This window comes from Homo sapiens, chromosome 5, assembly GCF_000001405.40.
Source record: "Homo sapiens chromosome 5, GRCh38.p14 Primary Assembly".
Lineage (NCBI taxonomy): Eukaryota > Metazoa > Chordata > Mammalia > Primates > Hominidae > Homo > Homo sapiens.
The window spans coordinates 107902855-107928801 of NC_000005.10; the positions used below are offsets into that span (position 1 = coordinate 107902855).

The window sequence follows — 25947 nt, forward strand, 5'->3', positions numbered from 1 at the left end:
TGTTCTAGTTGAAGTTGGTTGATAATTGATCTCCAGACAATTGAAATTTTACTGTAGTTTGTATAATAAAAATCATCATTCACTACACTGACTGAATAAAAAGTGAAGAGAATAGAAATTTTGTGTTTTGTCTCAGTTAGTCATTTATAAGACTGAAGAACTTTCCTGTGTATTTCATCAACCTCTATATGATCAAAATGAAAACTAATAAATCATTTAGATTTTGTCTTTGTAACTGTAACCTGACTTGTAATCTAAGCTTACAAAAACAACAAAAAGACTTCGGCAACATAACTCTGGAAAATATTTGATATTTTACAGACCTTACAACAGTGAGACATGTCATTCTACATTATTTTTTGCTTTTGATTTTCAATTTAAATATTAGCTTTACTTGATACACCTTTAAAATAAACTATCACTGAAAAAGAATTAATGAGGTATATTTATAGAGTTAGTAGCAGTCAGACATACAATAACTAATGAAAAATGTATTTATTGAGCATTTTCAAGGTACTTGAAACAGTATCTCATCCTCACTATAACACTGCAATGTATTAAGGTAAGCCACACGGAAATGCTGTTTTTATAGTCCAAACATCAGCAATTTCAAGTGGTTCAAGTTAATAAGTAATATTAGCATAGATCTTATTTTACAGAAGAGGTAACTAAGTAAAGAGAGGTGGAATGATTTGTTTACAGTCATGCAGTTAGTCAGCGGCAAAGCTAAGATTCACATTGAGGTCTGCCTGGTCCAGAAGCCTGTATTCTTATATCAAAGAACTGTGGTGGGACATCTGCTGATAGGCAAAGACAGAATAAAAGGAAAAAGGTAAAGATAGGTCTTTAACTACGGGAGATTTATAACTTGCTTAGGGAGAAATAATAATGCCAAAATTACCAGGAAAAATAGAAACCATCCTAACACAAAATGCAAAATATTGGGACATTCGTTTTTACACCATGATTTGAGCTTTACTGGTGCAACTTCAGAATCAATTTTCCTCTGCTGTTCTTCATTTCTCAAGTGCTTTTTTCTTGAGGCCATTAGAGCACCATGTCACTGGTTGGCAAGAGAGAAGTATTGATTATACGATCCAAGTACTACAAGGGCAGCTTTCTCTAAAATATCTATAGTTACATATTTATGAGAATTACATTTTGACTTTGATATCTGCATAATTCATTACAAAACAAACAGACTTCTAAAATATTAATGACTCCAAGCCTAGATCCCCTTTCCAGAGCTCTCCACTGCATTTCTGCCTCCGGGGCTTCACCTGGATGCTCTAGAGGTACTCAAAAGCAACATGTCCATTTATAAACTCACTCTTTTGTCTCTAAACCTATTCTTCCTCCTATTTCCTATCTCACGATGGCACCACAGACTTGTCCAGATCAGAGCCAGGAGAGACACCCCCTTCTCCCGCTGCCACTGGCCTCCAAGTTCAAATCAGTAACTCACTATTGATCCTGTCTCCTAAATAACTCTACCATCTCTTTCAGCATCTCCAACCCCACTGACTCTGCTCTATTTGGATCCTCATCATCTCTCCCCAGTCAACGACCAAGTCTAACTGGTTTCTTGACTCCAGTCTTGCCCCACTCCAACCTAGCTTTCTTAGAAAGGAAACTTTCTGTTACATCATCTGATATATAACTATATCTAGTTTCTAGTTATACCAAGCATATTTAAAAGATGAAAAACCACCTTCTCTCCTTAAATAGCCTGCTTTGGGGCCTAGAGCAAAAGCACAGACATCATAAACACTAGATAACTCAGGTTTTGGCAGGTAAGTAATATCCACTGACAGGTTGGGCTCCTTAATGGAATATTTATTCATGCTAATAATAAAATGTAATAACAAAACCCAAAAATATATTTTGCTTAAATAAATTTGCTAAAGGACCAAATGTGTAAAATAATATCCATGCTTATATATTATCATTCTAAGAAAATATAACATATGCTTAATTGCTATTAGATTTTTTAACTCCAGGAGTGACATTCTGACACAATGCTGAAGAACCCCCAATTTTGCGGCAGGACCTCTGGGTCCCTCATTTCCAGGGGTGAAGCAGGAGGAGGAGGGTGAAGGTGGGAAGCAGAGGGAAGAGGAGGGAAGAGGAAAGGAAGATCCCAAATAAGTGAGATTCCTAGCTTCCTGCTTCCAACTCAAACAGGGCAGCTGAACTTTTTTGCTATATATATATATATATGGATTGTGGATCTTCATAAAACTTAATAATAAAAGAATAATAATGCTTCAAATAGTAATTTTAAAATTATTGCTCTATAGTCTAAGAGATGAGAAAAATTTGAATAGATGAGAAAAATTTCAATTTAGTGTGTAGCAACTAATTGTATATATACATAAAAACAGTTTGTAACTAATCATTAACACAAAACCAATTCCTCTTTCATAAATATAAAACTATTCTGTGCCTTCTTAAACATTTTCTGTTTATAAAATATCTGATGTATTTCTAAAAAGAGCTTATCCCAAACTCAAGATTTTATCCAACATTGTTCTGATTAATTCCTTTTGCTTTGATTTCTCATATAATCTACTTTTTTTGTTGTTGTTGTTAAGCAAGAATAACCTTAAAACAAGGTGTATGGGATACCTCCTCAGACATCCATGTTGACATTTGTTTGCTATTTGTGAAATAACATATACTGAGTATATATTGTGAAAAATGACTCTTCAAAATACATCAAATACACTCAATTACAGACATGTATAGTTAAATACAGCCAACAACAGGTCATTCTGAGCATACATATGATCACAATGTATGTGCTATGTGCATGTATGTATATATCTTCTCTCTCTGGATATACAGATGAAGCTATAACTCACCCACACTAAAAGATTATTTTCAAGACTTTGTCCATCTGGAATTATTTCCATAGTGGAATTTCATATCACACTTTTGGGGTGGAGATTCCCTTTTAATAAATTCTATATGTTTCACATTTTCTCTGGGCCTCAGCTGCCTCAGGCAGCTACAGCCTCCTGTGGTAATTTGTGTGTCTACCTTTGTGCATATATGCCTCTGGGCAACATTTCTTAGAATGAAGTATGGGACTGTAGTCAAACTCAGCAGGAATATAAGGGCATGACCACATTGGGAACCAATCTAATATTATGCCCAAAGAAACTGAAAAGGAAAAGAGGCAGACTACATGCCTAGAGTGAAGCTTTTTTTTTTTTTCAAGAAGTTTAGCAAATCTGGTTAAATTCCCTGGATCCAAATGTATATTTTGACCTTTTCTTGGAAACTAGATGACAGGCCAGCCAAGTAGTCAGAATAATTTCTACTAATACATATTTTTAAAAGGCATGTTCCTTAAACATCATAGTGATTCAAGATGTTATGTTTATATGTATATGCTAAATGTGAATAAAATATATCCAGTATTTATTACTTTAAGCTTCATATACTAATGCTTAATTGATAAAAACTATTTTAAATATAAGTAAAATAAGAGGGAAAACAATATAGCACCCACTGTTATGAAAAGCACTTTGAACATAAAAACAACAAAAGGAACAACAGTTTTTGAATATTTACTTTGTGGTAACATCATGCTAAGTGCTTTCATGTATATTTACCAACTAATCCTCAGCCCATTCTTGTGATGTAGGTGCTATTTGTATCATCTAAATGAGAAGGCTACATTTCAGATGATTGAGCAACTTAAGGACCCAGTTAATAAGAAGTAGGGACAGGACTGGAGTCCAGGTCTGTCTGACCATACAGGATCCCAACATCTCACCTCATACCACTGGGTAATCAGATAAAACTGAAAAAAGGACATAAGGTAAAAACATTTGAGTGGGGAGGACACGTCTAGGAAGAGGGCTAATAACTGCAAATTGTTATGAATAGTAAACTAAAGTAACCAAAGAGATTTAAAAGCAACTAAGGAGTGGAATACCGTTTCATTTAAACAGTCTGAACAAAACAAAGAAACTACACATTCATTAACATTATGAAATATTTAGGTAGCTTATAATACTACTGTTACATTAAACTTAATTTTCTTTCAATTAGGCAATATCTCTAGAGGAGTTTCCATTCCGCATGGCAAGTAATGTGATACTGAAATGCAAGGGCAGACATTTTCTAGTCAGAGTTAGAAATACAGTCAAACTTTCAAATCACAATTAATATCTTCGTAAAATAGATAAAACTCCCATGACATATATAGTAATTCATTGATGAATGGAGCAAAATATTAATAGCTAATTTGCACCTTCCTACCCTGTTGTCCTCTACCTCTCCTTGACCATACCATCCATTTACACTTCACACATTGACCTTGTAAAGACCTCTGAAGTGTGACTACAGTGTAACGAATAAGGAGTAGTCTCAAAAGACGACTAATTTGAAGGCAGTGACAATGATCTAAATGGGGAAGCTCTAGTTATGTTGGTTAAAGATCAGTCACATTACTTTATAAGCATCCTTTGTGCTTTTAGAATGAAATTATTCAGCAGCCACAAACACATACATACGGGCTCAGAACTAAGCACCTGTGAACTCTCAACACAGTGCCTGGCTCAGCGCAGCTGCAAAGTAGTATCTCTCCAAAATGAAACAAAACGAGGCAAAGCAAACAAACAAAAAACATGGAGCCAACCAAGCTACAAAATGGGAGAAAATTTTTGCAACCTACTCATCTGACAAAGGGCTAATATCCAGAATCTACAATGAACTCAAACAAATTTACAAGAAAAAAACAAACAACCCCATCAAAAAGTGGGCAAAGGACATGAACAGACACTTCTCAAAAGAAGACATTTATGCAGCCAAAAAACACATGACAAAATGCTCACCATCACTGGCCATCAGAGAAATGCAAATCAAAACCACAATAAGATACCATCTCACACCAGTTAGAATGGCAATCATTAAAAAGTCAGGAAACAACAAGTGCTGGAGAGGATGTGGAGAAATAGGAACACTTTTACACTGTTGGTGGGACTGTAAACTAGTTCAACCATTGTGGAAGTCAGTGTGGTGATTCCTCAGGGATCTAGAACTAGAAATACCATTTGACCCAGCCATCCCATTACTGGATATATACCCAAAGGACTATAAATCATGCTGCTTTAAAGACACATGCACACGTATGTTTATTGTGGCATTATTCACAACAGCAAAGACTTGGAACCAACCGAAATGTCCAACAATGATAGACTGGATTAAGAAAATGTGGCACATATACACCATGGAATACTATGCAGCCATAAAAAATGATGAGTTCATGTCCTTCGTAGGGACATGGATGAAATTGGAAATCATCATTCTCAGTAAACTATCGCAAGAACAAAAAAGCAAACAAATAACCAACATGATTCTACCTGGCAGTAGGCTAAGAACTAATTCTGATGTATTTTGGTTATTTAGTCAAGTTAGGTTATTTGCTAATTTCTCCAATATTCAAATACTGTCTCTCACATGCAGAGAATCCACTTTTTAATTCAACAAATGATAATACAGATCTACTAGGTTAAGTTTCAGGCACAATCCTTAGGCCTGGAATACAAAAGAATAGGTTGAGTGGGAGACATTAAAATATATCATTTAAAGCTAAAAATATCCATATATTCAAAGTTAAAGGAAGTCTGAGCTCATCTGAGAAAACGACATACATAAAAACTGAGATATGTGGCCAAAAACCTATATGCAATTAATTCTCCATAAAGAGCTATGGATTTATAGGTAGGGATAATCTCATATGTGCTGGAGTAGTCAGAATACTTAGGAGAAGTGGGCTATGAGCAGGGCCACTGAAGCACAAGACAGCTGAAAAGTGACAGGAGGACTGCGGGGCAAAGGCCCTTGGGTGGGAATGCTCGTGGTAGAATGGAGTTCAATGAGCATATGAGGGAGCCTTTATATCTCTGGAAAGAAACCGCTAGCATCAGGGTGGGAAATGTAGTTTGAGATCTTCTGAGGACAGTGTTAAATGTTAAATGCCAGTTTGAGAAGTTGAACTGTATTAATGGCCCCCAAAGCCTCAGGCTTATGGATCTGGGACAGTGAACTCCTTCTGAAATGGTTCTATCTGCCGTTGTCAGTGCACACCTTTGCTGGCTGCAGCACAGCAAGTGGCCGTCGTGATAGATTGTGCCCCATCTTAACTATGATTAACTGAACCTGTGATAGTCTCATTTGTACACTTAAATGAACATAAATAGATGTTTAGAGCAACCTATATTGAGATTCTGGGTAAAAAATGAACAAAATTAAATGAATTCTATACTGTGAATCAATGTAGATTGAGTAAAAACACAGTGAAGGGAGTATTTCCAGTCAGACCGTTTTGAAGGCTCATTATTAACTCATTTAAGTGGATTCTGAGTACTTCAGAAAGAACAATTGAGCCAAGTTTCCATGGAAAGAGCCACAATTTGTGCACAGTGCTTCAAGACTGTCAAATTAGCTTCAAATAATGATACCTACTGTATGTGAACAGTGTTTATTGCTCAGTGGCTACACATAACTTGCATATTCTTTAGATTAACAGAGCTTCAAACCATAATTAGCTGCCTTGCCTAATGAGCACATGGAACTTTAGGAAGGTGGTTGAATGAAATTGTCTTTAAGATCCTTGAACAACAATGAGAATGATGGAAATACAAAGAATAGCTATTAGTTCTGGAGGCCTTTGAAACATTTTGCCCCTAAACTAAAATATTTCTTCAGCCTATCCTGCATCATAAGCTTAAGTAGCAAAATCTTACTTTTCTCACTAATTGAGGCCTTTTTGCCTGAGGGATTTTTCAAGAAAACATAATGGCAGCATCTTCTTCACATCCTCACCCAGTGAATTCTGAGACTCTAAATAAAACATAAAGCTCTAGTGCAGAGACAAGAGAGGTGAGCAGAAGGGCTGAGCACAAAGATTGAGCCAGGCCGTCAGAATGCATCAAGCCTCACTCTTGAAGCACTGGGATCAGACCAGAGCAGTCCTCTACTTCCAAGGAGGTTTAAACATTTCAGGAATAAAAGTCAGTCCTGAGGAAGGCAAACAAATATATTTATATTTACCTTACTGTTATTGCTGCTGAATGTATATGATACACTTTGGTTGTGTTCTACAAACCTGGCTTCTTTAGAAAAGTAAAGTCACTAAATTATTCTTGGGGAGCTACATACACTGAACTAAAGTGACTTCACCACAAGCCACTCAAATAAATGCAACTCAGAATCTCCAGTGTCATTTGCTTGCAGTGTGGGATGGGGGTTTGGGGAGGGAGGTTATCTGGGGTGGGTAAAGGCCTGGCCATGGGGGATTAGGGGACAAACTATTCAAGCAATTCAAGAAAAGGAAGAAAAGAAATAATACAATTGGGCCTGACTGTTTTGAAAACTAAGTATGACGCAAATGAAGTAAATTAAAAATCTTTTAATCTTAAAAACTTAATGAGTGATAAATTATAAATACATCTACTAGGACTTCTAGAAGGCTGACATACAATTTTAAGACTAATTGTTTTGGTCTTCAAAACGACAAAATGAGAAACAGCATGGTGTAGCAGAGATTCTCACTAAAAAGTATCCATCTGAAACTGACAGCAAGCATCAGATTTGATGGTCCAGTAGTGTAAGTATCCATTAAAGCCATAAACAAGTTAAGAGATGCCTCAAACATTCCCAATACCCAGTATATTCATGGTCCTAGATAATCACAATAAAAAAGAAGAAATATGAGGCATAAAAATTGGAAAGAGGCAAAATGATCAGGATTTCCAAAGGATATAATTGCTTACCTAAAAAAGTATAAGAAACTCAAGCTGATATACCATTAAAAATATTTTTTAAAAATTTAGTATGTTAGCTAGTTACAAGATCCACAAAACCAGTTGTATTCCAACACAGTAGCAAGAACCAGTTAGAATTAGAGAAAAGATTCCACTGACATTAGAAAAAACATCAAAAAAAGTTATATAGGAATAAACCTAACAAAATATGAAATAGCTTTGTTGAAAAAAGTATAAAACTTTATTAAAGGACATTAAGGAAGACCTGAAATGGAGAGCTATACCAAATTTAAAAATGGGAAAATCTAATGCTATAAATACGTCCTTTGTCTTCAGAAAAATCATTCTGTGCAAAACTACATTCAATGTAATCCCCTAAAAATACCAACATGATTTTTAAGAAAAGTTTAAGAAATTGATCATAAATTAATATGAAAGAATATTATGTGAGAATAAGTAAGATAATTCTAAAAAGTAGTTAAGAGAGGGATGAATCTGCTAGATACACAGTCATTATGTAAGTTGCAGTAGTAACAGTATAGTGTTGATGTCAAAATAGACAACTAGCTGAAGAGATTCCAGGAACAGACTTGTGGATATATGAAAATTTTTATAAGAGAAGTGCTATATCTAATCATAGGAAAAAGGATATTGATAAATGATGTAGAGAAAATTCATGTTTCGTGTATTAAAATACACAGATGCCAATATCACATATAAAAAGCAAATTCCAGGTGGACTAAAGACTTAAACCTTAAAAGAAAACTGAAATAATTATGATACTAGAGGAGAATATCTGACTTTGTGTTGCAGAGGTGTTACTTCATAATAGAAAACACTTATGTGGTGTTTATTCTGTGCCAGGTACTTTATATATATTAACTCACACACCTTGCAGCAATCTATAAGGTAGATACTATTATTATTCTCATTTTATGGCTGAGGAAATGAAGGCATCCAGAGATTATGAAGTTGTTCCAGACCTCACAGTCAGTAAGTGACAGAGTTGGAATTCAAATCTCAACTGTTAAGACCTAAAGCACATAAAGGAATAGATTGAAAAATGTAGCTTCATAAAATTAAATTCTTCTAAAAGCCAAATACATTTTAAGCCAAGATAAATTTATGTGGCAGAATAAGAGAAAATATTTGTAGCATGTAACAAAATAGGGTCAAGAATATATATTTTTAAATTTTACAAAGGTCTACAAAAATAGAAACATGGGCAATGGTTACAAATAATTTACAGAAGAAATAAAACCGGCCAATAAATATATTAAAATGTTATACTTCACTAGTAATAAGGGAAATGCAAATTAAAATGTCACTGAAAGGACCTTTATCATTGGACAGAACAGCAAATAAAAAGGTTTGATAATACAAGGTGTAGGCAAGAATTAGGAAAATGGACACTTTCTCATACTGCTGAGGGGAGTATAAATCGATGTAGCCAATCTGGAGGACAATTTGGAAGTAGCAATTAAACTGAAAATGAATACAGCTCAGGATCCAAACATTTACAATACTAACAACTTTCTTTATCTGGAGTGCTTACCTTGTGCCAAGCATGTAACTCCACACCTTAAATACATTATTCATCTAATCCTTATCACAACTCCATGATGAAGAGAATGAAACTCAGATTGTTAAGGCAACTCCTCTAAGGTCCCATAGCTAGTAAGTCCAGAGCTGGGATTTAACCAGCGAAGTATATTGCTCGCTGCACCCAAAGAAGTTCACTGAAGTATTTATTATAGTGAAAAATGAAGAAGAGCTTAATGTTTACCAACATGGGAATATATAAATAAAACATAGTATATTCATTTCAAGGTATACACAAAGTGGCTAAAAGAACAAAGTACATCTATATGTATCAATATAGATGAATCTCAGGGAATACTGTTGAATGAAGAAAGCATGTTATTGACAGATATTTACACTCTGATACTATTTACATAATAAAAACAAAATACGATAAATTTTGGATGGGTACATACATATAAATATGTATAAAATTATTTGGAAGTATGACCACTACGAAAGTGTTTTCCACTAAGGAAGAGAAGAGAGGATTAGGAGGGAGACTGGTAGCTAAAAGGAACTTCAGTTTTATCTGTAGCATCATACAGGTTTTTACGGGACAATGTATTCATATATTATCAGTGCAATTACAAATGTAATAATAAGGAAAGTGCACAATTTGGTGCCCCAAGAACCTGGGTTCAAATTTTAGCTCTGCCACTTATTTCCATATTTGGCCAAGGAATCAAACGTTCTGAAAAAGTATAGTGTAAGACTTAGGGAGGAGCTAAGGTCTGATGTGCAGGTGGGCACTGGGGACCCTTTGAAGGATATCAGTGGCTTAACTAGGGTGGGAAATAGCTAACATAAGATTATAAGTGCTTTAAAAGTAGAGATCATATTTTATTTATTTTTTTATCTTAACAATGATTAGCTTTTTACACAATAGGCTCACAATACATATGGAGAGTTGCTAGAGAGACTTTAGGAGAATATATGAGTTCATGGGGAGGGTAGAAGGAGCTGAAGAAGCTGGTATGGACTACATTATTTACCACCAAGACAGTAGCCATGAAGGGCAATGAGAAGGTGGCATTTTTGTGGAACTGACAGACTGAAGGAAGAGAGGTTTGTTTTGTTGCCTTAGTTACATTCCAAGTAGGCAGAATGTAGAAATGGCATGTCAAGTCTTGGAGTAGGGCAGAGGAGATGGGATGAGAGAAGTATATGTGCAGATGGTCGGGTTAAGAGAAGTAACATTTGCTTCTGATATGGGAGTGTAGGAAGAGAAGAACCATGAAGAGACAGTGGTGATGTGGATGACAGTGATGATCATGACAATGATGATGGTGTCACTTTTTATGTTCCCTTGATCCTCAGAGAGTGCTACTTAGTTTCAAAAGATTTAGAGCTCCCCTGAGAATTTTTGAACTTTAAGTGAAGTAGGTCCACCAACTCTTGACTGCACTGCATCCTGGAGATGAGGGGTGGAGGGTGGGAGGGAGAAAGGAGCACACTCTAACGCTTAGACTCCTCCTCTGTAACATCTAAGAACAGCATTTGGGGCTTAGCTTCGTCAACAATATGAAAGAGATGCTATCTGCTCAGGGCAATAGTGTCACTGCTTATTCTGCAAAAACTATCAGCTGTGGGTGAAAAGTCAAATCCAAATTAGGGCCAAACCAGGGCAATTTTAGAGCTGTGAAAAACAGTACAAGAGCATGTGCCACACGGGATTGAAATGGGCATATTTGGATGATATTATGTAGACAGGCAGGAAAAATAAAGGGGAAAGACTTTAGGTTTCATTTTATGAGTTTTTTTTTTTTTAACAGGAGGCACTTCACACAATGATATAAGTATAAAATGCAACCATGAGTTTATGGTATGAAAATTTAGTTCTATAGGAATACTTCATTATAGATTTAGTTTAAAAACCTCCAGTAAAACGGTGAAATGATTCCTATCAAATTTAACTTTTCTCTAAACCCTACAAGTAGTTCATTGAAACGAGAACAGTGGTTCAAATCAGAGAGTATAGTCAATTTAAGTGGATTGATGGGTTACTAGAGTCATGGGGGAAAACTCTCCTTTATGTACTGATTACACTACTCCTTTGAAAAGTGAATTTCCTTCCAAAAGATAAGGTTGCAATATCCCTACCTGGAAATACCCAAATTATGAGTTCTCTCTGCTGAAAGGTAAAGGGGATGATGGGCAGGATAAACTTTCCCCAACTCATTTCAGCTTAAGCATCTAGTCTGTATTCTTTTTTAGATCCACAGGTGCAAGGAATATTTGCTGCTGCCCACCAAATTATTCAATTTTCCTTTAAGAATCAGGCCATCCCGAATTCTTAACTGTACTTAGGTGGTTGAAGCCATCCTCAACTCTGGGGTTAGGCCTTGATTGGCTAAAGCACACTTGTGTATTCCATCCACTTGGCCACAGTGGTGGGTGGGCATTTGACATAAGTCAACCCCACCCAAGTGACCCCGGGACTTTTGCTGGGAATGCTCAGAGGATTCTTTCTTTCTTCAGGATGGTACTTATGAGGTGTAAGGTCTAGAACTATTGTAGCCCTTTCTGCTACCATAAGGAAAGTCTGCCTGAGAATAACACCAATATATTGAGTAAGACAAAGTGGAAGGAATTGGAGAAAAACAGAGCTGAAGCCTGAGAACTGTGAACTGTTGCTCCAAACCTTACATATAACTAGAACTACCTCTTAATTTCCATGAGCTAATAAACCTCCCTTCTTTGTTTAAATCAGTTGAGTTGCTGTTTTTACTAATTGCAACCAAAAGATTCCTGAAAATACTCCATTTAGTTAATGGTTTTAAAAATAAACATGGATAGAACACTGAACTACACTTTAGTCTTTGATGAAGAAGATAATAAACTATCTTTTGTATAAAGAAAATCTACTTTCTTACTATAATTGCAATTTTAAAATATATTATTTGCTTAGACCCAAGCATCTCTTCATTATTTTTGGCACCCCGTAAAATTTATTCCATATGGAATCTGGAGAGGGATGTTTGAATTCTAAATGAAGAGTCTCAACCATTACAAGCTGCATAAAACATAAGTAAAACATTTTTGCCAATTTTTTAAATTTGTATACCCTATTTTAGATCTGGGAATCTGACACTAAAAATGGCCTCAGATTTAATGTTGATTTGTATTCAATGCCAACAATAAAAAAAAGAACCGTAGTTAATATGTCTTTGGTGTTTTTATTTTAGATAACTGCTATTTCATAAGAACGTTTTCCCAGACTGGGTAAGGGCTGGGATAGGGGACTGGTTTATTCTTTATATGTGAAGAAAAATTTCCACCAATAGTCTGGAAAAAATACACAACAGTCTTCTTTTCTGCAAGAACTTATGAAAGTAATGAGATGTTTTCCCCTTAGCTTCTAAGAAATTTACAGTGAGCCACAATGTTCTTGCGTAATCTAGTCTTGGGACATATAATTTTAGAAGCTGAATGTACCTTTTTGCATGTAGAAGTAAAAGTAATTTTGGTACTTATAATAAATCAACAGCTAAACAGGAGGATTGGGTTTGCTCTAGCCTCGTCTGCTGCCTTGTTCAACTGCTAGAACCAAATACCTTAATCCAAACTTGACTTCCCAAACATTTCATCGTTATTGCTAGTTCCTGCTGTTCCCCCTGTCTGTGTTCAATCAGGCTGACATCTATTGGTTCAAAGAACTTTACACATCTGCCAGCAGACAAAGGATGCATGTTGCCGCATCTGTATGTTACCAGTAGGCACCTTGGACTTCTCTTCTTTTTGCAGATATTTTCTCTCACTGTATAAAGATTCATTTAATACTTTCTTTGCTCCAGACAATAGATTTTTCTTCTTCTGATGGGGCAGTCTAATAAGAATATAACCTGGTTGCTTAAAGATCTTCTGTGTAGCACAGACCTTACCTAAGCCACTGCTAGGCAGTGTACATGGTGCAGTAAACATAAAGTCCAGATCCCCAGTGTTATGTCCATATTTATTCAATAAAGACTAGGTGGTTTGGGACTACGATAATCAATCCTTTGTTTTCACAAGGTTTTATGAAATGTAAGGCCATCTAAACATGGTTAAGGTCATGCTTTTAAAGTCTAAAACAAAATTTACAACAGAGGTTGGGAATGCTCTTTGTTGAGACTAAAATCACTGTAAGAACCCAACCTTATACACATTCTACTTGAGCATGGGGGTAGGGGAGGAGGGCTACCCCATGTACTCTAATGTCTTTTCTGACATTATAGTTTTCCTGAAAGCTGCATCACCTCCTGCTTAACTTTGTAAATACAGTCTCATGAGATAAAAATGAAACTAAATAAAGGTATTTGGAATATACAATTTCAGAAAAGGCTGTTCTTTCCTCAAAGATATTCAACAATAAATAGACATTATGTTTAATCATTTTAAATGAAGTCAAGTCTAAAATTTGCTATTTTTATTCCAGAGCACAGGCTATACAAATATATTTCTTCTTTCTTATATAAGAAAATAAACTTCTTAAATAAGCTGTCCTACTTCCCATGGCTCCTGGGCATAAAATATGCTATTTAACTAAAGAATATTTTACTTCTTCCCTTTATCTTGTTCATCTTCCACAAAATAATGTACATAGTTCACCTTCAGAACAGACTGAATGAGAAAATGCCTCAAACATATGTGGTTAAAAATTTTTGTTTTCGGAATTAAAAATACTCAGAAGTAGAAACCGTTTTCTTAGTAACATGCTAAAAATTTAGTCTCTGAGTATGATCAAAGGTGTATCGCTAAGACATAGCAACTTTTGGTGAAGAATCCTACTTAGGATTTCCTATTTCATAGCCTGTCAGTATATTTCTATCCCTTCATAAAGACTTTTCAAAGAAACTAGTAAAAGTTCACTTTGTAAACCTTGAATATCTTTTACCCTGTTAACTTGCAAATATTAATAGATTACTACCACCGCCACTACTATTACAATTACAGCTACTATTACTGGCTGCTGACAGCAACTGTTAACTTGCTAGAAGAGAGCAAATGGGGTGGGAGAAGCCTTCTTTATTTTTCTATTCTAATTTCTAAGATTACTGAGGGTTTAAAATGATCTTGTGAGGATGCTGGTAAAACCACAGCTGAAAATCCAGAGAATGAGCATTCTATAAAACCTAAGAATGAAATAATATCAAAAGCTTTACAAAGCTGTGGACTTTTTTTTTAAAGAAGGTGAAAGATGAAAGAAAAACCTGCACAAGTAGCATACCAAGAAACAGATGGTCTTTTTAAAAAATGAACCAAGAGTGTGCCTTCCACAAGTCTGCTTCTTAATTGTAGCATACTGAGCACTTTCATGCAGATGATTTCAATTGCTAAGCACAGAACCGAATAAACAGGGTTAGCTCATTGACACTAAATGACATAGTGTACTTGGAGCTCATCTACTATTTAGTCTGTAAACACCTGATATGCAAAATTGTATGAAGAAACTAGTGCCAAGACGGTTTAAGATTAACCAATGTTCAGTGAAGATTTAAAAGCTTGGCTTTCATTTTGCTAAAGATGCTCCCTTTCATATTTAATCAATGAACCAGTTCCGTTTTAAGTGCTTGATTTAGAATTTATGATTTTGTTTCTTTTTGGCTTATTCCAAAATGAGTTAAAGAAAGCTTAAAACTAGGAGAAGAAAAAGGAAAAAACAAACTCAATAACTTACATGAGTTAAGCAGCAATACAATTTCACAAGAAAATTTCAGAAAGAAGTAGATTATTGAATTTACCTTCCACTGGGCAGACTGAGAAATAATGGTTTAAATGTTTATTACAGAATCAGGACAGAATCATTGAAACGTTAATAACAATCCTCAGTGAAGGTCTCCTTCTACCTTCCACATTTTTGGCTTGCCATGCCATGTCCCCTCATTCCTTGCTGAGGAAGACTTTTGGTGAGCATCCAGGCAGATCTACTCACCCTCAGGAATGCAGGCAGCTCCCTCAGCTCCCATGTGGCAGAAGACCCAGAGCAATGGGGGCCTGCTGTGAAGAGAGGCTGAGCTCCCTGGAGGCTGTGGGGCTGGGGCGGCCCTTATGGTGGCAAAACCAGAAGTGATTCAGAGTCTGCACACAACTGCTCTCCAACTTCCTTGGACAGTCGTAACCCAGTCAAGGGTAACTTTAAGGGCTGGCTGGGAACTGGCAAATCTAGGGTTGCTGAGATTACATTACTCAAATGTACAGAGAGTTTTTAAAAAGAATCTTGATCAGTATCTTCTGAATAATTTGGGTACTATCCAAACAGCTTTTTCATAGACAGAAAACTTGAGTAGCTTGTATAAACTCTTAGTTTACTATTATTTTACTAATCAGGGTAGCCAAACAATTTCTGAATACTAAAATATGGAACAAGAATATGGATAAGTTTGCATTCACATACCTATATTACTGCTTTCTATATACATAAACACATGTTGAAATATTTATATATATCAATATCAGTATCTGTATTTGAAATAGTTACCTTACTGATAAATCTCTGTAAATGACATAAATAAAATCCTAGTGTTCCACTGAATTATGATAGACAGTGCTTTCATGAGACTTTAAGCTCCTCAAAGACAAGAAATGTGTCATATTCTGTTGTTGATTCCCAATGCTTAGCCTTGCTGCTTTGCTGAGTAACTACACCACCAGCTTTTGCTCAGCCCTCTTCTGGATTTTGTAGATCCAGGGAAGCCATGCATGAGCTCTTGCTTTCATTATATTTTAATCTTAACCCTCTCTTGGCTTGCATTGCTAGTGGACTATACTTTGTGGGAGAGGCTGTGTGATGAACCTGGGTGTCTGGCAAATAAATTCTCAAGCAGTATCTCTATTTTGTTACACCATAGTAAAACTTTGTTTACTTTACAAAAAATATTACCAGTATCATGTTCTTTTTAAAGACAGATAAACAGATTACGCACTGAGTCAAAAAAAGAAAAAAAATTGCAGGGTCCTGACTAACTAAAGATTGGATTCCTTATCTTGGCTACATAATAAATAATTGGGATGACAACACTGGCATCATCTTGACTCTCATTTGCTCTTACACCCATATTTGATCCATTAGCATGTCCTGTTGGCTCCGCTTTCCATCGATCCAGGATCCAACAGCTTCTCCCCAATTCCTTTGCTCCCACTTGGGTCCAAGCCTGGATTACTGATGGATCGCAACAGCTTCCTGACAGGTACCTCTCCTTTGTCTCCAGAAGATCTACTCTCATGAACAGCCAAAGTGATCCTCTTAAAGTGTATCAGCTCAGGTCCCTCCTCTGCTCACAGTGGGTTCTCACCTCACTGAGGGTAAGGCCATAAAGGCTTTTTACACGCTCCAGTGTCTTTTACCTCCAGATCTCAACTCTACTGCTCTCGCTCTTGCTCACTCCACTCCAGCTACACTGCTCTCATCCCTGTTCCACCAACAAATGAATCATCCTCCTGTCCCATCCCCCAGATATGCTCTATCCTCCCATCCCCAAATCTTCATGGCTCATACTCTCTCGTCTTTCAGATCTTTCTTACAGAGTCCTCTTCTCAATGAGGTCTTTCCTGACTACCCTTGTTAAAATGCCACTTGCACCCATTCTCCATTATCCTCCCTGCCCTGCATCATTTTTCTCCAGATCACTTACCAACTGATTGTATTTACAGCATTTACTGACACTAGAATGCAAGTCCCAAAAGGGCAAGAATTTTTGCTTTTCTTCAGCGCTTTATTTCCAGCAACTAGGACAATTCCTGGGGTATAGTACTCACTAAATACAGAATAAATGAATTGAATGATGACTATATAGTGCAACCAAGCAACCTTCTAAGATCTAGTTTTATGCCACAGTTGCAAAATGCATACTTAAAACTTAAGCAAAACAGCAAAGTTATTCAGTGTTGTCACTCCTCTTCAGCAATTAGACATTTCAAATGCCATATTAGTATGTTTTTGAGAAATCTGCAAACTGAGAACCAAAGTGACAGGGCCAATCACATTCATATTGAAACTGTGGATGTGAATCTTTATTTTCTTTTTGAGACAGAGTCTCGCTGTTGTCACCTGGGCTGGAGTGCAACGGCGCGACCTTGGCTCACTGCAACCTCTGCTTCCCGGGTTCCAGCAATTCTCCTACCACAGACTCCTGAGTAGCAGAGATTAAAGGCGTCTGCCACCATGCCTGACTAATTTTTGTATTTTTAGCAGTGATGGAGTTTCACCATGTTGGCCAGGATGTGAATCTTAGTATAGGAATTCCGAATCTTAGTAGCACACTGCCTTTGTCATTTAATCAGCAAAATTATGGTGGCCAGAAAGAGTTAATACAATTTCTAGGTAGACATGAATTATCAGAAGGGATTGCAACAACCTAACTCAATATGAATCTGAGAATATTTCTTAGGTGGTCAACTTCAAGGGATAATGAAGAGATGTCTGTAATATGAATAAATCCACACCCCAAATTCATAAGTGAACTTTTGAGAAAATTGAATGACTTCTGTATAGCACCTTTTATAAATCTAGCAGAAGCCAAATTTACATCAATGTCAAAGGCAGAGTGAATCCTTCTCCAGGAAGTACCTAATCCTGCAATAAACCTGTTGAACAGACAGGTTTAATGTTCACCAAGGCTAAGTGTTTAAGAGGTCTCCACGGTATAATTTGTCACCACTACAAGTTTCTGCTTTGCCTTAAAAGCCGTGAAAATTGCTCCACAATCTCACTAGGAACTAAGTTGCTCATGTCAGGACCATGGTTTACAATGCATTTCTGTTTTCATAGAACTTCCTTGTTTATGGCTTGTTGAAAAAAAATACATACTATTATATACATTATAAAAGCCACAGAACATAGATAGCTGCATGAAAATTCAAAGGGTAAATGATTTAAAAACTAACATTGTTTGACTATAATAAATTGAGTAAAAAATAACATTGTATTGTTCATCTAACAAGGCACAACAGTTTGAATAGAAGGTTTCAGATTTAAATGGGAATGGGGGAGCTGGTCATTGAATTTTTATTTCCAACCAGTGGAAAAGTTAATTATTTACACACTAGCAGCTCAATGACTATAATGTAGTCCCTGAGGCTTCTTCAGAAATTCTGTAAAGTTAAACAGCTGCCACCTTCATTTAGTGTGCCAAATATGATGCAAGGGCAGTGGCTGTGTGCATATATCCCATACATTCCATATATTTGCATGTAAAGTATTAAGAAATCAGTAATGCAAAACTGAGTATCAATGAGCCGCTTTAGTAGATTTTCCATAGCTGAAGGCAATGACATTGAGAAGCAGGAAACAGTATGGCAAAGCACAGGGCATAGATGGTGGCATGGCATAGAGGAAGGGGCTGGTCGTAAAAAGGAATGTAGAAAATGGAGACAACAAGGCAACATTTTCTTACTTACTGTTAAACCAACTCCACATACAACTTGAAGAGTTAAATCCAAGCCAGCTGTCATGATGGCTGCTGGAAACCAGGAAGGGGCAGCAAGAGCTGCCCAAGGTGAACAGTCCAACACTTGGGCTTCCCCTTGGGAAGCTCTTGCTCTGAGCACTGCTGGCTGCTCCTCCCTCTGTCTAGAAAGCCAGGGAAGGTACAGTCACATAACCCAAACCTGGTTTGACCCAGGTTTACTGAATCCTGATTCCATTTCAATGACTATTCAGCACTTGCTGAATATAAAGCTCACATTTTCTCTGCGCACATGGGTGGGGCAGTATTGCTGGGAGCCAGCAGACTGAAACGTGGATACCAAAGCTAATGGCAGAGACCTGGGTATCACCTGACAGATTCTGAACAATGATGCCTGCTGCTGGCTTCCCTACACAAGTACTAAGCGATGTTGGGAAAGACAGAGAGAGGCCAATAAGACCTGCTTTTTCCCTTAGCGTATGGAACATTTCATTTCCAAAATGGATTAAGCTCAGACAGAAATACCACGAGGCATGCAGAATCTCTGAAAGCGGATGGTTTGCAATGTGTGCTCTAATGCTGTGGGCACTAGAGTCACTAATATGTATGAAAGTCTATGGGACTATTTCTTCATGTAATACATTACAATGTCTGAAAAATCAATGTCCTAGGGCACAGAAGGATGAATACAGAGCTTTTCAATTATCTTTTTTATTTTTTCCTAAAAATACTGCTCCCTTCAAACAGATTCAAAAGACAACATGAGATTGTTTTCATTTTGGTAAAGATGATGTTGAGTCTATGCAAGGATCTTAACTGGCTCAATCCCAGTGGGTAATGGCCCACTGGGCAGAAGACTGTATAGACCTTGAAAACATAATAGGTTAAAAAACCCTCCATGGAAGCTCCATGAATAAGAATGAGATATCTTCAGCAATTGACTATCAGTGTAGCTGCACCCAATTTCTTAAGATTGACGCTGTCTTTGTTTTTTAAACCAACATCTTCTGTCAGTAAGTCTGTAGATCATAAATTGTTTTAAAATAAAATTTCCTGTCACACTCACATCTTGGGAAATAAAACAGAAGGAATCCTAAAGCCCGGCTACTTCATATTCAGTCAAATAAGAAACCAGAGTGAGGTTAATATAACAGGCAGAAACCTAACTTTCAATCTCAATTACCCAAAAGGCACAGGGTCATCTGCCACCTTCAAAGAAACAGGCCTACATATAAATGATGTGGTATAAAGAATAAGCTCAGAGACCTCTCAACTTCTTGCGGGGCAGGAATGAATACTGTAGTGGGTCATAAAGCATTACAATTTTTTCTTTCATTCTGTGTTTTGGAACAGGTGTTTCTGTCTAGTGCCTAAAGCACTTCCTACCAGTGTTAATAAGGTGTGCAGAGAAAGCTTGTCAGACTTGTTATAGTGGCAAAGCCCTTTTTGAAAATCAAATTTTTCATGAAAGGCTAATAAATAATAGAGTCAAAAGTAGAATGACTCTGTAGCAATGGGCATGCCAGTATGTTGTGGGGAGGAGGAGAAGGAAAAAACAAGGCAGGAATTGAAATATTGAAATAGTACTGGGCCATGGAAGGTGCTCAATAAATATTTGTTAAAGGAATAAATGACCTGTCATTTCAGGAAAGCACAAACTGGGTTGCTCTGAAGACCCCTGGTGTGCTTGCCTCCAATACACTCTGCCTGTCCTTTCCTCTGGTGGCCTGTTATGGCGTTTTCATCCTTTCCCAGTCTTGGTAAATAGGCCCTGGTAACTAGGGAATGGCTGCGATATAGGCCCTAAGAAAATAGGGTTTCTTTGAGCCTCCTAGGTCTTGGCCAATTCATGTAGTCTTAACTCCTAAATACTTCCCAAATACAGTTCCACAGCTGCCTGGCACAATGGCCAAGAGCATCTTCTCCTGTCCATCTTCTCAAGCCCTGCACTTAGTGCTCCTTTTCAGAAAACCCATGGTCAATGGCTCAGCATTCTACTCCTGAAAAGCTGCTCCTTTTTAAAGCTTATATTATTGCTGTAGTAAAATGAAATGCACTTTTAAGCTAGAAAGGGTCAATATTGTTCCCTAAAACACTAGGGTACTTGATATGCTACATTCATTTTCAAGGGCACAGGATTCTTAACACCCACTCTTTCATTGATTCATTCAACACAAATTTATTGAGTGCCCACACTGTGGGAGGCACTGTCCTTGACACTGGCATATTACGAACAAGCCAGACAATTCTTTTCCTCCAAAGTGGTAATATGCTAATGGAGGGTGTCAGACAAACATACAAACAGATGAAGGAACAAGAACTTCAGGGAGTGATGAGTGTGCTGAAGACAACTAAACTGGATGAAGTGATGGCAATGTGGGGCTAGGAGAGGGGGCTACTATTTTAGATCCAGTAACCAGAGAAGTTCTGCCTAAAGAAGTGGCATATGAGCTTAGTGTTTTTTTTTTTTTTTTTTTTTTTTAAGATATGGGGTCTTACTTTGTTGCCCAGGCTAGACTTGAACTCCTGGGCTCAGCCTTCTAAATACCTGGGACTACAGGGGTGAGCCACTACGCCCGACTTTGCAAGACTTGTCTTCTGAGAGCGTTCCTTTCAGACCTTAGCTTGCAGCCTTCACCAAGAAATACCAAAAATATGAAGGAAGTACATAAAAGATCACTTTATTTGTCTGCATTAATGTGGTTTAGGTTCCATTAAAAATTAAGCTTCATGGCAGAGAGCCATATACATTTCTAACTGGGTACAAGGAGTCTTATTAGAAAATATTTATTACATGTAACTGGGTAGAATACTCCAGATGGTATCTAGGCATTTGCATAGAACTTCATGTCAAATTAATCATCATTAATGAAGGTTTAGATTATTCAGAATAAGATGGGTTAAAAAAATGGTAAATAAGTGGTCAGGCCAGTACTAATCCTCTATAAAACTTTAAAGAAGACAAGGTTTGGCTTTGAGGCTGCCCTAGTCTCCATCTAGAATTCTCTTTTTGTCATATTCACTATCAATGTACCCAGCATCTTTATACTCTACAGTTCAGCAATTCTGGACTTAACCAGGCAATTGTGAGGATCTGCCCTAAGAAGAATCTTAGGAACCTTCCTTTTAACCTGAAAGCAATTTCACCAGATGATCTGTTTTAAATTGAGTAAACCATCCATCACGAAATTCTCGAGACCAGTTTAAGAATTCAATAAAATTTCTTGTGCCTAATAACACTTGCTCAGCTGCAGAGGCAAACTAAGAAGCTAATATGTGAAATAGAGCAATTCTGAAATCTTTGCATTTTCTCATTTGTGTTATGGTATAATGCAATGAAAGAATTGCTTTTGACCCTGTCAAGTGGAACCTCAAGGACAAAGATTTTTATCATTTTCTTTTCCTGGAAAATTGATGTAAAGATTTGATTTACTTTGGAGTCTCCAAGTGCTTCAGCAACTAAAAAAACAGATTGATTTTTCATATAGATGTGATGTAATTAAGTTCTAATTTGATGAAAGAGCTGATCAAATAGTGGTGGCCATTCTGAAATGTTCCTCAGTGCCAAACAATTACCTGTAATGGTTCTTGAAAGAAAAACTCCCAAGTATATTTATTTTCTATAACACATGTGTTGTGTTTCCATACTGTTTTCATCTCTATTCTAAAAAGAGAATTATAAACCCAATGTTTGCACAGTTATACTTCTCTTACGATTCTATGTATTTTGATCTTGCCACATCCTGCTTTATGTTGTAGTTTTTGGGTGAAGATCTATGTAGCAGATGCTATCATTGCCCTCCCATATTCCTTCAACGATCACTGTTTGTGAAAAGGCCAATGGCTTCCTGTTGCACGTACCTGTCTGTGACTTTGTTGACAGCACGTTTTGGCCCCACAGCATGCCTGGATTGAATATGGTGCTGGCTAGAAATGCCACAGAATTATCTGCCCAAGAGCAGCCCCTGGCCAATGACAGAAAGGCAATGGCTAATAAATATCCCAGTTTCTTTTTCCTTTGGGTAGACAATCCTGAGGTGTGCTTTGCTTCTTGCAGAAACCCCCAAGCGGGAATGAGCGCCAGTTGTCCACAGTAGTAATGTGTTCATTAATGTACTCTCTAATGGCTATTATTTTTCTGACTCTTCCTTCATCCCCATTCCCCTACCAGTATGTCCTGAGATAACCTCTTAAATAAACTACATACATTCAAATCCTTGCCTCAGAGTCTACTTTAGGGAATTACAAACTAAAGTAATCAATATCTTAATATGCAAACAGACTACTAATACTAAAAGAAGGGTTTCATGCTTTCACAGACTTTTTTGCATTTCTTGTAACACCTAATGCAATGTTTTTGCACATAAATTGTGGCATTGATAAACAAAGCATCTAACATCGACTGAGCACTTTCTCTACACAATGCACTGTGCCAAACTTTATATCCTATTGACTCCATCAACAGCCTTATAAGGTAGATAGTACTGAAGGCACAGACTTTATTTAGTTCATTGCTAAGCCCTAGCTCCTAGAAAAGTACCTAAACATATCAGGCACTCACTAAATATGTTGCATAAATCCAATTTTACAGATGATGTAATAGTGACTTAAAAAGGTAAGTAACTTGCTGATGGTTCTGCAGCTGTAACTGGGAGAGCTGACTCCAGAGCTGAAGGTCTTAACCCTATACTATTCTCAATGATAGAGATGAGGAAGGGGAGGGAGGAGTGCATTGACAGAGATTACAGAGAGATTAAGTAACAGGTAGGGCTGCTAACATATTTGACCTCCCCACCAAACCTGTATTACTTGCATCTTCATTTTCTGATTATACTAGTTATAATCCTTCTGGCTACTTGCATCCTTTCCTATTCTTTTTCCTTGCATCTCCTGAGTAGGTAAATTCACGTTTCTGCCCTTGTGTATGGTGAGAATATTCTGATGTTTAATTTGGTGATTAATGTGTGTCATGATCTCTGGCAAACCTCCTACTCATCTAGTAGCTGGTTCTCAGGTCAAAAGTTAGGAAGGCAGAATAATTAGCTAGCCTATGATAGGGAAAGAAGTAAATGCTTCCTTTTTTTCATTAAAAAAGATAATATGGAAGAAGAGAGTTGGGAAGGTGGTAGTGACAATATTTATTTTCTGCTTCAAAATAAATTAGGAACACTTAGTACTTCAAACATACATTCTTTTCAGTTACTAATGCACATTTTGGAGCTATCTACAACTGATTTCTCCAGTAAGTTATGATTTTGCTAGCCCATTCAGTTGGAAACATTTGTTTTTACTGGACTATTTACTTGAATTTTGTTTAAAGACAAAGCACAATAAAATTACCGGTTAAACATTTAAATGAAAATAAAGCAATAAGGGATGTATCTAAAAATAATAATTGAAAATTGCATAAGTGAATGAGCAAGTTTTTAGAAAAAAAGTTAAACTTAAAGCTATATACAGAACAGGTCTCAGTGGTTATTAAAATGAATCCCCTAAAGTCCTATGACTTTTAATAAAAACACTAAATAGAAAATAAATGCTAAATCAATTTCTCTTAAATATTTAAAATGTTAAAGGTTAATCTATTTTGGTGAACTAGCCATGACAGAGTGATATGTTATAAATAATAAATGGCCTCTAATAATAAGAACTGTAACTACATTATATAATAGCAATATTTAAATAATGGCTCAGGGCCATGTTGCATGCAATGGTGTAGGCAATTAACTGTATGAGGGAAAAATGCAATGGCTACTCTGACTCTAGAGTTACTTTCCTAAAGAAGTGGATGTTGTAGACGGCCAAGCAAATGCTTAAGACTCTTTGGTAGAAGGCTTTAATGACTTTGATTCTTGAGCAGCCTATGTGCTCAATAGCTAGGAACAATCACTTTCTTTTACTTAAAGGAGTATGAGCCAAATGTAAAAACCAAAACATATAGAAAATAAAATTTCCAATTAATAAGCTCTCATAAGGCTACTATGAACACATAATGATTCTCTAGCAAATAAACTTGATATAAAAGAGCCTATTATCTATCACAAGATTGTATTTGTCACTAGCATAGTAATTTTCTTCCGTAGAAAAGGTTCTTTAATTTCCAAGCAGTATTCTTTACAAAGGGGAAAAAAAATCTTAATTTTTTGATGATTTATAATGATAAGTTGACACTCAACCAACTCTTTTTCTTGCCATATGCTGACTGGTATTCTACATGTGTTCCAAGAAGTTAAGAAGCAAGAGTGAACGAGGTTGCACATGGCTTTTTTCAGATCATGTTGGCAATTACTCTTTTAAATTCACCTCCTCTTATAACTGACCTCCTCTGGCATTTAGATACCAAATATCCAAATATTTTAAGAATGGCAAATGATATTTAAAAATGACTGCATTTCTCACCATCTGAAAACCTGTTTAAAATATTAAGGCTACCCTAGGAAAGGAGGTTCTTGGATAATCCCTGCCATAACAAAGAAAATTCTAAATAATAATTAATATGAGAAAATACAATTTCTCTTTGAACATGGGTGCAGGAAACCAGTATATCTTAAAATCTGGTAAAGAGAAGCAGCATGTAGAAACACACAAAGAAAAAATAGGACTCCTATGGGGCCTGCTCAAGCTCTAAGGAAAGGTTTTTCACTAAGATTAAAGAGGCAGTGAGAAAAAAGACTTTGACTAGCTTTGCAGGGAAATACATATACAGTGGCAATCCATCACACCATTAGTTGAGAAACATTTATTCTTTTAAACCTTTATTTACTTAAGAGAGTTTGGCTCTAGGATTCTTTCCAAGAGACAAAAAGCTACATACTTTGTTTTTTTTTTTAAGTCAGCAAAGATGACCCCCACCCCAAATACTCCCTAGTTACTCTTTTTGAAAGAGGCTGTATTGTATTTTGAAATAATATTACATTTAATTGTACATACAGAAACTCAACCTGGTAATATTACTTCTAAGTAATCTTATATGCTCAGATTTGAGAAAGATAAGTAATTGGCACATTTAATTCACTGATCAATAGCTTCAAAAATTCATTTTTGGGGGGAAGGAGAGAGCTTGATGAGAAAGAGGTAGTGGTTTTAACAGGATTATCTACTATATTATTACTATAAGCAGAGCAAAAGGCATGTATCCCTAATCTTTTGAGTCCTAGTCTTTCACTTGCTACCTAGCTGTGGGCTCACCTACAATTACA

At 36.6% G+C, this 25947-nt stretch overlaps 1 protein-coding gene across 2 annotated transcripts in view; it reads right to left on the bottom strand.

Annotated features, from left to right (window-relative positions):
• The window catches only part of FBXL17 (F-box and leucine rich repeat protein 17), a 523064-nt gene that overhangs the window by 43820 nt on the left and 453297 nt on the right, over window positions 1-25947 (bottom strand). The window lies entirely within an intron of this gene.